Here is a 15353-nt window from a genome sequence, read left to right on the forward strand (position 1 = left end):
AAAATCAATATTTTGGGTGGCTCATTAAAGCCATTCTAGTATTTTATAGTCCTATCTTCTCCATCTACTTTCTTCTTTCTGGACAAAATAAGAAAAAATTATTTTCTTTCTCATATTAATGGAAATAAACAATGATTTGGATAATTGAATGTCCCAACAACTAAAATTATAACATTTGACTTTGAAAAAAGTTCTTTCTCTTTATAATTTACGTTTTGATTATGGGTGATATGGTTATTCTAAGAATATACCATATGGTTAGCTCAAGTTTATCCAGACCTTAAACTGATGGCAAGCTCAATATTCTAGTACTCATTCTAACCAATTATAAAGTATTTGTGGTTACCATTCATCTGACCAGAAATATGTGTAACACTTATGCTTTGTGACAATGTCAAGCTTAAAATTACTTTTTCCTTTCTTTATTTTCTGTTTGCTTTTATTATATTATTTATTTTGCTTAGGATCAGGAAAAATAAGTTATGTCAGTTTCATCAATAATACGCTGTTTTCAAAAGAAATTATTTTTTCCTTACCATTATTTTTCCTAACCCTTTCTTTAAACATATATCATTTTTGCTTTGCTCAGGATTATAGAAGTGATCCTAATTTCTATAGACTTCTTTTTATAGATTATCTTTAGTTTCTAAAAATAAAATAATCCAGTGCTTCCCATTTCTATTTTTATTTACTCTTTATAATAATAAGGTATGGTGACAAATGTGTGCTTTCTTCTTAATATGACATTTCTATTTATGCCCATTAGTTTACAGTTTGTGTTAAGTGCATTGTATTTAATTAATTATAGTATAGTACCAAAAAAAAACAAACTTAAGGATATAGCATTTCAAAATATATTATCAATTGATTTTGATAAATTAAGTACATGAAAAAACATTTTTTCTTGGCTTATAGATATAGTAAAATCTTAGTAAAATGAAATTTTCATAAGTTCTTTCTCAAATAACCTGGGTTGAGAAAGTCAAATAGCTTTCATAAACTAAGTAGAATGATAAAACATAGCCATTGCTTTTCCTTCTCACTATGTTACTACCAATAGCTGTGCTTTTAAAATGATAAATGAAAGACAAATGGCCAAATTATTCATAAAACTTTTGCACAGAGACAGACTGACAAAAAAAAAAAAAATCTTGCTTTGGTCAATTGGGCCTTTCTGAAAAAAAACAAAGATGGGTAAATTATCACTCTTTCCCAGTTCTGACTTTCTTTTCTTTCTGCTTTGTCATGGTATTCTTGTATTCATTCTTTTTCTCTGTTTCTTCATAATTTGTCACTGTAGAAATGAATGAAATTGGAAATTGGGAGATCATGATTGGAGCAAGTGGGAAGAAAAGTTGAGTCAAATGTGACAATAATCATTTGAATGGCCCAGATGAATTCATACTGTCCTCTGCCACAGCCTCAAACTATATCTTTTAATAATTTACAGATATTTTCTGAATAATTTTAAAGCAGTCCTGGATTTCTCTTCAGAACTTTTGTAATGGAAGAGTTGAAGCCAAACTAGTGCCTAATATGTTGCAAAAGGGGCAGAAGAGAAATAGTCTCATCATATCTCCTGTATTCTCAATGCTCTCCCAACACTATCATTTCATTTTCTGCCATCTCTGTTAGGAATTGTATGTGGTATTCAGCAAAAGAATTAAGATTGGTAACACTAGTGTGAATAGATATAGATATGTATCTATATAGATAGAATTAAATTCTGTATATTAAATGCAATACATAAAGTATATTCAGTACCTAAAGTTTATTAGATTCTAAGATTTGAGCAATAAAATGCAATATAACTGCCCTCAGTATTTTCAGACTCTAATTGTGAATTTGTAGTAATCATATTTCTCATACAAAAAATCTGAAAATTCCTCAAAGCCATTTAGAAATGGGGGAAATTAAATTTAGCAAGGACAAAGAACGTGTGATACTAGTGTGTGTGGTAGAGTCATGTTCCCAGTGGAATTAAGTTAATTTCTGGGAGAATACAGTGCATTATATGCAGTGGGATGATTGTGGGCACATGGCAGGATGGTGCAAGGCAAGGTATGACATAGCTAATTTGTTCATAACATCTTGCCCAAGCTCCTCCTGTTCATGTTCAAGACTGAGCTTTGGGTCTCTTTTCAGCCCCAACTTCATGCTTTCATAGCATCCCTTGATATATAAAAAAAGCACCCTACTTTATTACGACCTGTCTCCTTTTACAACTGGATCTTAAGCTTCTTGAGAACTGGGTTTGACTAAAAGCTATGTGTGAGAGTGTGTGTGTGTGTGTATGTGTGTGTGTGTGTGTGTGTGAAACTTCTTATTTTAAAATAGTTTTAAATTTACAGAACAGTTATGGTGAGTACAGAGAGTTCCCCTATACCTATACCTAGCTTCCCTTGTTTACAATATACATTGTATGGTACATTTATCAGAGTTAATAAACCAATATTGATACATTATTATTAATTAAAATTCATACTTTATTTAGATTTCCTTAGTTTTTATCTAATAATCCTTTACTATCCCAGGATTCCAAACAGTATACCACATTATGTTTATAAAACTGGATTTTTTATTCTTAAAATCCTAGCATGATGCTCAGTACCTAAAGCATTGAAGAAGCTGAACAAATACTTATAAATGATTTAATAATAAGCCAAATCTACTTAAAAATTATAGGCTCTTTTAATTCTCTGAAGGCAATGATATGGTTTGGCTCTGTGTCCCCACCCAAATCTCACCTTGAATTGTAATAATCCCCATGTGTCAAGGGTGGGACCAGATGGAGGTAATGAATTATGAAGGCAGTTTCCCCCATGCTCTTCTTCTGACAGTGTGTGAGTTCTCGGGAGATCTGATGGTTTTATAAGGGGCTTTTCACCTTTTGCTCTGCACTTCTTCTGCTGCCATATGAGGAAGGATGTGTTTGCTTCCCCTTCTGCCATGATTGTAAGTTTCCTGAGGCCTCCTCAGCCCTGTGGAACTGTGAGTCAATTAAACCTCTTTCCTTTATAAATTATCCAGTCTCTGGCAGTTCTTTTTTTTTTTTTTTTTCATTCAAAATATTCTGCTAATTTAACGTATATTTTAGAAAGAGGAGATCCTTACAAGGCGGTAGGACAGTGGTTTCTGGGCTGGTGTCCAAGATCAAGGAGGAAATTGTTGTATTCTGTCCCTTGAAAAGATTATGATAGTTAACAAATGCACATGGTCACTTTACCTATTATTAATGTGATTAAAATTAAAGTGTTTAAAGCAATAAACTTTGTTAATTACTCATTATATATAGCTATCCACTATTTCCCAAAGCTATATCCATTGATTTTACCCCAAAAGAATTTAAGGGAAAAAACTTTAGAAAGCCTTTCTCTATGATAACATAGCATCCTGTGCACTCTGAAATGAATTATGTGTTTTAATATGTATATTGTGTGGAAACAACACAGCTTTATCGTGCATGGTGAGCAATGAGGTCATTCATAACAATATTAATGGAATGTCTTAATTTTATCACACTGTTGGGCAGTTCTTTATAGCAACATCAGAGCAGATTAATACAGGCCATGACCAAGATGTATAACAAAGGGGATGAAGTGGTAAGCGACATCTAATTTCATTTCTCCAGGAAAACTTCTCTTTGAGACATGGAAGAATTTTTGAATTTTATAAAATGCTTTTCCATGATCGATCCATATTAGATGTTTTCTCATCAGAACTCAATCATAGCTACATCATGCTACAATTTACACCATCAATAATCTTTAAAAATATTTAAATTATGTGCTAAATTGTCATCAATGAATAGGCACACTTTATATTTAATACAAAAATATGCAGATAATGGTAATATAGTTAGATATCTATGAATCTAAGTATATTTATCAAGATCAAGGCTGTGATTTGGACATTCAACAACACCCTTAACCTAGGGGATGAAGCTAAAGGAGGAATAAATGAAAAAGGTAATATGAGCTTGAGGCTTTTTTGTAGCATCCTTCCACACACACAGCCCAGTGTTTCTCATAGCTGAGTCTTCACTAAGAATCACACACAGGACTTGTTAAAACAGAGATTCCTGGCCGGGCGCGGTGGCTCACGCCTGTAATCCCAGCACTTTGGGAGGCCGAGGCGGGCGGATCACGAGGTCAGGAGATCGAGACCATCCCGGCTAAAATGGTGAAACCCTGTCTCTACTAAAAATACAAAAAATTAGCCGGGCGTAGTGGCGGGCGCCTGTAGTCCCAGCTACTTGGGAGGCTGAGGCAGGAGAATGGCGTGAACCCGGGAGGCGGAGGTTGCAGTGAGCCGAGATCCCGCCACTGCACTCCAGCCTGGGCGACAGAGCGAGACTCCGTCTCAAAAAAAAAAAAAAAAAAAAAAAAAAAAAACAGAGATTCCTGAGCCTCAGAATTATTGATTCAGTAGATCTGATTCAGCAGCTCCCAGGGAATGCTGATGTTGCAGTCCATGGACCACACTCTGTGTAGCATTCATTTAACTCCAGTTTCCATCTCCTTTCTGACCCAGCTCAGAAGCAGAGCAGAAGAAAATTATAGTAACATCATCTCCTGTGCAATGTAATTCAATCAAGACTTCCTGCAGGTGAATTATTTAGCAGTAGCTCTGAACCTTCTAAAAAATAAAGTTAGCCTTTATAGTTGTGTTATTTTGACCATAATATGGAAGCCAACTAAATATATATACATTTCAATTCAGTAGATACCAAAGCCCAGGCGGTAATTATAGCCTTTAGGAATGATTTGAAGTGAATTTATTCCATCCCCAAGGGTCTTACAAAAAATTACTCCTTGCCCTGAAGGACCTTTAAATATATTTAAAAACAATTACATAAATTAGAAAGTATTATAAGATACTATAACACCATATCATTCATCTTTGTGATACATTTAAATTTTTTTCTACCAAAACCATACGAGATAGGAAGTGTTCATTAGTCCCTTTATAATGATGAGGAAAGGAAGCCTCAGTTCGATGATTTAGCAAGAATAAGACAGCATCAAATAAAATATACTGTAGATTCAAAAATTGTAAGTCTATACCCTTTCCACTACAGCATACTATCTCCTAATACAAGTTTCAGAAGTGTTTTGGAGAAACACTTCTGAAGCCTGGTAAGGAGAAGAAAGGAGCCCTACATTTCTATACTTGGAAAGGACCTGAAGTTCATAATAAACTTTGTGACTCAGTGTTAGGAAAAAAGCAATCAGGAGGAGTAAACAGCTATACACAATGCTGAGAGTACATTTCCTATTTGACTTTACTTCCACAGTGTATCTTAAAGCCCCTCTCCATTCCCATCATTTCCTGGGAAAGAACAAGTCAGGAGGGAAAGAGTCAGTGTCCTCAGCTGACCTCTGTTTTCACCCTCTTTTATTCTCATTTTCTTTGCTGCTGTTCTTTTCCGGTTCTGAAGTTGATCTGGCTACCTAAAATCACCCCTGGGACTTATTCTTAGGGATTCTGTTCCACCACTCTATCCTGTAAATAAAACCCCCTTTTTATTCTGGTTTCCCTAAATTAAAGCTCAAAACTCAGAGAAAACAAACCAAAAGTGCATAGAAATAGGTTTACATCAATAATATTTTAACTGACATTTAACTCCAGTTTAGCTACAGAATACTTGGCTGGCAGGCTCTGCTCTCTCCTGTGCAGTGCCCTAATTCCTCTCCTCTCCAATTGCCACAATCCCATGTTGCCTGAGAGCATCAGCTTCCCAGCGGAAAAACAGGTTGGAGAAAGAGGGCACATTGTCCAGGTGGCTAGTAAGCTATTTACTTAGTATTTCATTATTTCCTACATCATGGATTTCAACCAATTTTCAATACCTAGTAAGTTTAAAGTTTTTCTAAAAAATTCAAAGGTTATGTTTTATATTTATTGTGTTAAACAAAAATGAAACAAATATTGAAGGTACACAGAAGGCCAATGAATACATATCTTTCACTAAAAGTATGTTTTCTTTCCCCTTTTGGCTTAAGGTGAGGAAGAAATCAAAAGTATTTATCTGGAAGAGAAGTAGAAGAAGAGAAAAAGAGAGAAGGGGTGGTGCCAGCCTCACAAAGGGGTACACAGAATTAAGTAAAAACAGAAAGGGAGGAGGGGGTATAGTGATAACCCAGAAATGACAAGGATAACACAAGACAGATAGAAGGAGGAGGAGGAGAGGAAGAAGAGAAAGAGAAAGAGAAGGAAGAAAAACAAGAGGAAGGAAGTAGAGAAAAAGGTGGAGGAGAGAATGTAGATGAAAGAATTCAACTGATGTGTCAGGAGGGTGCCTGGAGGTCCCAGCTGTTTCACTAAATGCAGCACTGATGAGAAAGAAGGTGAATAGACAGAAAGCCCCAGCCTTTTCTCTAACATATGTTATGCTAAAGGGGCTATAAATAGTTGTCCAGGATTCCTCAGTTTCATGGGTATTCCTGCTTATCCCACCCCATCATCTTTTCCTTTGAAAAACACAGTTCTAAATCATTTTGTTTTATTCAGATACTCACTTGATGAGCACTTGTTGAATGCCTACTAAGTGTCAGGAACTGTGCATGGCACCAGATATCTTACCTGTTCATCTAAGGGAAGGCAAAGTGGGAGACTTTCTTTCACTTTCCAAGTAAACAACACATGCTGAGCTGATAGCTGCCTATAGGACACTGTTTAGTTTAACTTTAGGCAGTGTGGTCTGGCCTTAGTAATATTAGTTCTATTGTGCGTTACAAAGCTGGGCCTACAATTACCTTTGTTAGTACTGTTTATTTTGTGGATTTGGTCTGTTGTCTCCAAGGTGCCATCAGATAAAATTCCAACTTTCCTTAAAGTATAAACAAAATAATTCTTACAATAACTTACAAACATGAGAGACATCAATATTCTTTGCTCCTTCTAGTTATCTACTCTAATAAGAGCTGGTGTTCATTAAAGAAAATCTTTGCTTTTAAGTAAAAATCTGATGTTAAGGATCTCTCTTCATCTTAAGTTGTAATTTAACAATTAGCTCATGATTGCTTTTAGAATAAAAAAGAGAACAGCATAGATTAATTCTCTCTGAATCTCATCTGATTTACTGAGTAATTTATAAAAAGCTTCCTAAGGGTTAAGTATTCTGCACAGTAATCTGCATTATCTCATGTAATCCTTTCAAATTTTTGCAAATTATGTTTTACCACTTTAAAGATAAGAAAATGCATATTCAGAAAACCTAAGTAACTTGCTCATGCCATGCAGTCTGAAGCCAGATTCAAATTAGATATGCCTCATCCAAAGTCTAGGGGGTTTTAGGCCACTGAAATTCGAATGTAAGAGTGTTTTCTAATACCTGGGCTTAAACTAGCTGCTATGTTTCCTATGCCAAAGCTACAAACTAAATCCTTGAGCATAGCACAGTGATGGCTGAGAGTTTAGGTACCAAGGATGGTAGTGAAACACATTTCTAAGTCCCAGAAATCAGGCATGACAATAGATTTCTCTTTTATTTTTTCATACCAGTTGTGGAGGTAAGGTTACCAAGGCAAAGGAGCCCTATGGTTAGAATATCCTGAAATAGGTGTTAGAACTAGGGCTGAAAACTTCTCGAGTAATCAGTTGTCTTGGCCACCATAGGGCCATATGAAGGAAAGATATCAATTCTGCAGAGATGTCTTTTCTTGAAGTCATCACTGTTTTTGACCAAAAATGTTCTCTTAATATCAGAGACTGCAACACTTGGTGTAAATGTGGTATGGACATGTCCTGTTCATTCCTAGTCCAGAATATCCAGACTATAAAATATCCAGTCTTGTCACTATCATTCCTATCATGAGTGCAAAGAATAATGCTCACTTAAGACTAAGGAATTAATAATAACACTGATGTTTTCTCTTATGCCTCCAATGTTATTTAAGGCTTTACTGTGAAAAAAAATATCAAAATAACCATCATCCTTTGTATAAGGTACAGAGTATTACAAAGTGTCATATGTTACACTAGAAACTACTAACTTATGGCCCTGTCTATTAAAACCAAGAAAATAATCTAAATCTTCATTCTGCACCCTTTGGAAAATATTATAAATGGTATAATTTTAGTTTAGTTTTGTTTTTAACTCTCAGAGACTGAAATTATAAGACTTTAACACTGGGATGGCTATGTATGAAGGGGCATGCATGCATGCAAAGTGATATTTCTGGATTCCTGCAGACTAAATTCCTCTATTAAACCACAGAAGAGTTTTATATACAAAGATAAAGAAATACATCTTTGCACACACTCCCACTAAGAAGTCTCAATGATGATTCCTTTAAATGTCTTTGATGAAATAAAACTGACTGAGCAGATTGTTAGCAATAATTTTCACCAGTAACAACCAATTTCATGGTTTGGTGCTTTATTATGTGGTCATAGAACTGAGGCCACCAAGTGATCTCATCCCAAAAAGAAACAGAGGCCCTCTCTGTGTAATACTCTCAGCTCTGACTAGATGACAAATCTGACCTGGATAGCAAAACAACAATATGACAACATAATTTTTAAAGCATATTTCATTATGACATCATAGCTGTTGAATATATTTATTAACAAAGAACAGGCATTGATTATATATTATGTATAGAATACTTCCCTTGTAAAGCTGAAAAAATGATTTGATACACATAAATTTTCCACTCCAAAATTGACCCAGTTCATATATAAATTCACTGTTTATATATGAACTGTTTTTTCCTAACCCTGAGCTTCCCTCACCCTATTACCATACTAAAAGATAACTGTTTTCCCACTGTAAAATGCAACATCCAGATAAGAATTTAATAATTCATAGAAACATTTGGGGACTTTCATATATCCAGATGCACTGATGTGATACATGGACAATATTTGTCTGTAGCAAATATAAAAATGCAAATAATAGCACTCTAAAATTCATAGGAAGGCTCTCTCCACAGAAAGCATATTTTATATAAAGCAGACTCAACAAAACATATTGTAATTTCTCACAACTTATCCAGTGATATTTTTTATAATATAAACTATTTCTTAATAAATCCACCACTTAATTCTCACTGTCTCTCCCTGAAGCTCTGGGCACATAGGCTAGTGTTTCCTCCTGGGTCCTATTTAATCACTCTGCTTATGAATCATGTCTTATGACCAGTTTTTATTTATTAACACCCAGAGATGTGTGACTAATGTCACTATTGATAATACCAGGCTATTGGATGAGGAACCAAAGCTATGAGCTGGGTCAGGAAAAACTGGCTCAGTCACTACCTCATGTTTTATTTGCCTTGGGTATAAAATAAATACCATGGCCTCCAGAATGATCATTCAGAATATTTATTTAACATTGTGCTCTTTTAGAATTCTCTGTCAATTATTTTCTTGTAAATGGAATGAATTCTAAAATGTGTGTTGTAGAGTGAATACATGTAACAAATCGATATGTGTACACTACAGCAAAAAAAAAAAATATATAGGCCATGAATCTTGGAAAATTCACATACAATGTAATCATCTTCTGAGTTATTATAACTAGAGGTCAAAGATATGGAAGATGAAATTTGGAGTGAGTGCAATCTATCAAGATAAATCATATGTTTTATGCGATTTAAGAGCAACTTTATCCTGTCTTCTATATTAGCATTATCCTAGCACTTGTTGAAATATAAACTCATAACATTTTCAAGGTTTTTCTCTTTAGGACCTGTTTCCTTCCAATTTTCTCACTTTGTATCAGTCTGCAAAAACATTAATAATATAAATAGTTTTTAGGTGATAAGGTGCATTCACAGATATTGTTGTTTCACTTGATTATCTCAAAAACCCAGTAAAATGTACAGGCAAATTACCATTACTACCCCTATTTTCAAATAGAGGAAACTGAGATGCAGACAATTAATTATCATTATTATAAGTGGGGAGTACAGAGCTGGAGTAGAGGCCTCTGATTTCAAATCCTGAGCTCTCTGAACTATGATAAATCTGTATTTAATTGATTATAATACCCAATACAGATACACTAATTAACACTCTATCACAAGTTCTATCTGCATAAGTATATATTCCATGTTTAAATCTACATGTATAATGTTAACATATTTTAGGAATGCTCTTCTGCCATATCCATGCCTTTATTTAAATGTCTCTTCACCAACTATTCTAGGAGAACATTTTATGCTTAAGCAGCAATTCTCCTTGATTTCTGCAACTGCATTCTTGCTTATTGAGACTTCAAACACCTACCCCTGTCTGCCAAGCTCCCATGATTGAATTTCTGGGGCTTTCCATGTACATCGGTATTTCTTGCTCAACATAGGTCTTGGCTTATTTGTTTTTTCTTCTCTGAGCTCCATTATCAAGAAGCTTATTTTTGCCTTCCCTGTAACCTCATTAGTGCAGGATGGTGAAAGATAAGGAGAGAACAGATATCAACAGAAGGAAGTAGATGAATCCACCAGGACTTTTCTCCCTTCATTCTCTCTTTCCTTGGTTTCTGTCCTGAGGACCACAGTATTTTTCAAAGAAACCCTTGGGGAAGAATATTAAAATTTTGCATTAATCTCACCAATATTACCCTATTGAGCTGGGATAAAGTTAGCTATAATGCATAACTATTCATGAACTTTTAAATATTTGCCTGATACAGCCAAACTCAACTCAAATCTTGACTGAAAATTTTTACAAAGCAGGACAGCATCTTGCCATTTTAATCTTTGCTACATTTTTACTTATTAATGTAATTTACCTTGTAACTAGAAAATACATTAAAAGATTTATGTATTGCTTCAACAAGAGTAATTATCTCATCATTTTATCCACCAGGCTTGCCCTAAGCCAGTATATTTTCTTAATATTAGTGTGCAGTGAGATATTCAGTTAGAAGAGAGAGGGATTCAATATTACCCCATTGGGGCACAAGGCAGTAGGAAATCAACTAGAAAATATTCCACACCTCTTACTACCCTTGTACCTTGTCTCCTTCTCTCTCTCTCTCTCTCTCTCTCTCTCTCTGCCTTTTCTCCTCTTTAATCCTAATGATCCCTTCCTTTCCAGCTCTAGTTAAGAACATGTCATTCCCAGAAATAGTAATGGAGAATGAAGGGGAGAGGAAAAGGGCAAATCTCTGGACATTTTTTTTCTGAACATATTTTTATATAATTTAACTCACGCTCTGTATATGATAAACTTTCTCCTCCTCCTTGGGAAGAAACAATAGGCTTGTGTTTTCATCTTAAAAGTGAAGAATATGAGAAAAATGCCTGCCTTTCTCCCATACAGCTTAGATCATTAACTGTGAAAAGAATTTCTGAATTATTCTAGTAGGCTATCTCCAGGGAGCCTCCTGGATTTCCTTGCTAGTGGTCAGGCAGCGGTACAGAGATGCTATATGACATATACCTAGTGCCTCTTATATTGAAAGATTATATACTCATTTAAATATTAATTACTTAATTCACTCGCTACTGAACACTTGTCGTTACTGACATTAGTCAAGTCAGCAAAAGATTAATCTGTAATATCTTATTCCTAGTTTTTGAAGACTTCTAAAATATTCACTGAATTCCAGAGTCTAGAGAGATAAATGGGCTGTTCATATTGTATTGGTGGGACTGAATATCCCTCCTCTGACAGTATATATGCTCTTCTTTTCACTGAGGCCCCTGAGGTGCAGTAGGCATTTGCTGCTTCAGGTAGCATCTCCAGTGTGATCTCTTAACTGACTTTACTAACTAAATTGCACAAGTAGGAACATTCTATTTTCAGGTAACTCTCTCTATTCTGCCTTTGTATAAAAACATCATATTGTGCATTTTCAGCTGGTTCCATTAAATTCAAAGTTAAGGGAAATCCTGTGGGAGTTTTCAGTCTATTGTACATATAGATACTAGCGGTTTTACTCTCACACCATATGACACCACTCATAACATCAGTTACAATTATTTCTTTGAATATAAGTGACATAATAAAGATGAACTCGATAATAGTATTATGCATAACATTTACTTGTATCAGAGAACTTTGGTATTTTTTGATCAAATTATTAACTCTCTTATGAAATATTAAAATGTGACCTGTTGGAAAACACACTGATATTGAACCATGAAAACACAAGTACCCCAATAATAGGGTATAAAATGTTAATACTAGATATAACAGAATTGTAGCTTGCAAAAACTGGCAGCTTATCTACTTGTCTACATAAGAAAAACAATCAATTATATTTTTTTGCATTTTTATTTGTCCATATTCCATCACATCAAATTTGTACATGTTGACATCTTTGATGATAAACTTCTTAGAAATAGGCATTTTGATACATACCATGATACATCTTCCCAAGTTAAAAGATTAGTGTTAATTCTGGGCACTATATTTTAAACACTTTACCAATTTAGTATCAATGGATTTCTTAAATTTATATTATCTACTGGATAGTATTATAGGAAATCTATTTAAACTAAGAAAACATCCACTATTCTAAAAATGAAAAAATTTCTATAGTCAACATTTACTGAAGATTGTCCAATAAAAAGACAAAAAGGCCAAACGTGTCACATAAAATTGAGGACTCCCTTTTTGTTTCTCCTGATAAATATTCTACCTGTACTTAGAAAATACAAGCTTCTGTTCTTTCTACAGTGGGGGACAATTTAAAAGCTTACACAATTGAAAAATGATTCTTATGTAATCCTGAGTATTACATCTGCTATCTGTCTCAATGTGTCAATGGCTAGTGATAATAAATACTTCTTTGCTGACAATTTATTCCGAATTTATATTAAGTCAGCAAAGTCACTTTCTCTGAGCATGGTTTTGTTTATTATTTGTTTGTTTACAGGAGGAATTACCAAACCTATTCATGACTGGCTTGTATTGGTCCTGATGCAAAATCTATCTTTTAATCATTTATTTATGAGTATGATGTTGCTTTACAAGACAATTGTAGAATGAAATATTTAAACATTTGCTGTTAGATCTTCATTAAGGCAATATAAATTTACACTACAAATGCTAGTGAATACTAATACTTTAATCCATATTAGCCATTTTACAAGCATTGTCATAAACTATTTTCCTTTGCCACACATGAAAAAATTCTAATAATCAATTCAACTGGAAAACTAATTTATATTAGTTGTTAATCATTTTAATTACATGATGATGACAGTTATGGGTAGGGCATCATTTTTCTCCTCGGGATTTTTATTTTCTCCTCTTACCTCCATTATGGAAACAAAACAAAACAAAAACAAAAAGAACAAATTGCACCCCTATTTCTATAGCCCTTTCCCAGCATCCTTGTTTCTCATATGCATAAACTGATATTTAAATATCTACTGTTAACTTGGTGGATTCAGCCTCTCAAGGCTATTTTCAACCTGCTTCCTCCCTTCCTGTGTTCCGCGGGCTAGTGAGTGAACTCCTTATTGATAAAATCCAATGTTTACAGACAAAAATAACATCTCTAAGTTGACATGTGATTTTGCACTGTTTTCAGATGAGGTGAGTATGACACATTAATCAGAGGTACTTAGAATTTTAGGTCAGTTTTGCAATAAATTTTTCAGGTGCATTTTAAAGGTCTTTGAAGACCATAAGCCTATGTTAATGTTAAACGACTTTTTTTTTCTTTTTTCTTTTTCTTTTTTTTTTTTTTTAAACAAAAGGATCTGGAAAGGTAACCTACCTTTATGTGACAGGCGTAACCGGGGGTGGGTAGTATCAGCTGTATGACCTCCTGTCCAAAGCTCCAGTAAGTAACCCCACAGGAGCAAGGTGATAATGTGCCCCGCGGATGCCATGCTGCCGTGTTCACCGTCCAAGCCCTCGCTCCTCACTTTAAGGAGGGTCTGAGTTTTACTTAGGACTTCCCTCCAGGGGCAGCGTGCGAGAGGCTTTGTCAGAAATCGAACGCGTTGTCATCAGAAAGCACAGTTCCGAAGTGCCATTTGTCAGGCTGTATTTGGCTATGTAAAACCTTTCTTTCCTCGGGACAGTTGTTTATAAGCCGGGAGCAAGAGGACATTCCAAAGAGTGAGTCTTCAGAGCCATGTCCTGTCTAGAGCGCTCTTCAGCAACTACGCCGGTAGATTCAGGAAGAAGCTGTATTTTTCAGTCACTTGGGCAAAGCTGTTCATTCAGAAAAAAAAAAAAAAAAGAGAGAAAAAAACAAAACCGAGCACACGCACTCCCTTCTCCCGTGGAGGTCCTCTCTTCGGGCTCCTGGAAGCCTCTCAGAAGTCAGCCTCTTGCACTGACTTGCCAAACTGCTAGTTTTAATTCACCTTTCACCTTGCTAATTAAAAACAAGAAGTGCCATTCCCTCTAGGAGTCGCAGGATCCACCCAGCAGGGATGCAGTCTGTCAGTGGCTGTTTACAGGAAAGTTCAGGCAGGGTTGAGCAGCGTACTTGCTGTTTCTAGGAAGTATTTCTGGTCCACGTGCCTCGCTCCCATCCTCCCTCCCAGTCATAACCAGCCCCACGTTACTCAGCAGCAGGAGAGAAGTCCACATTTTGATGGGGGAAATGGGGAGTTCGGGAGGGGTGATGACATAGACTGATTATTTAAGAATAGGTGACAGACAAGGATGTGGCATCAGAAAGCGCTTTTAAATTCTTACCAAGATAAATTGACCTAAGTTGAATAAATCCAACTTCTTTTGAAAATAATCTATTTGTAACCATCCAGAATCCAAATTCTGTTTTTCACTGTTGCCATAAGGTTTTTTTCAAAATTAAGTCTTTTTCTATTGCTTATATCTTAGGGATGTTATTTTTAAACTCTTTTAAGAAAAGTGTGTTTCAAGAGCCTGAAAAAAAAAAGTTCATCTGTGACTGTCTCATAAATTTGATAGAAATGATAAATTATTTACTTAAGCAAATTGGTCAAATGAAATTAAAGGCAAATCCTTTGTCCTAAAGCAATTCCTAAATTTTACTTCAAATTTAGGAATGTTGAAGTAATTTCCCCCAGGTAAGGTAACTGGCAAAGTTGAGATTCACCACCCAAGGGATTTCTATAAAGCAGGTATTAGAAAACTTAGGATGTGCAATACCTTAGGATTCAACTGCTATGGACTTCCAGAGTTGATTTTCCAAGGCACTGTGTTTGTGTAAATAAGCTTAACACAATAGGTCAACTTTACAATCTACCTTCAATCAATCTCAAAAACTAAGCCAAACACTCAGGAGCTGTTGGCATGGAAATGAATGGTATTATGTTAAGATACCAATAAACTTGAATAGATATTTGATTTGATAGTGGAGAGTTAAATGGTAAACACTGATCTCAACTATGATAACTTTTTCTTATTCTGTATTTTAAATGCTAATAGTTAAAAACTTTTTGAGAATTATG

General features: G+C 35.0%; 1 protein-coding gene across 2 annotated transcripts in view; it reads right to left on the reverse strand.

Moving 5' to 3' along the window:
- Positions 1-14393, reverse strand: part of SEMA3E (semaphorin 3E) — a 285902-nt gene extending 271509 nt beyond the window's left edge. The window contains exon 1 of one of the 2 annotated variants that reach the window (NM_012431.3): positions 13682-14393. In NM_012431.3, coding sequence (NP_036563.1) covers positions 13682-13796 — 115 coding nt within the window. In that variant the 5' untranslated portion in view covers positions 13797-14393. Of the gene's footprint in view, positions 1-6585; positions 6686-13681 lie in introns of those variants that run through there. The other variant, NM_001178129.2, reaches the window with a different exon arrangement.

Source organism: Homo sapiens, chromosome 7 (genome assembly GCF_000001405.40).
Source record: "Homo sapiens chromosome 7, GRCh38.p14 Primary Assembly".
Taxonomy (NCBI): Eukaryota; Metazoa; Chordata; class Mammalia; order Primates; family Hominidae; genus Homo; species Homo sapiens.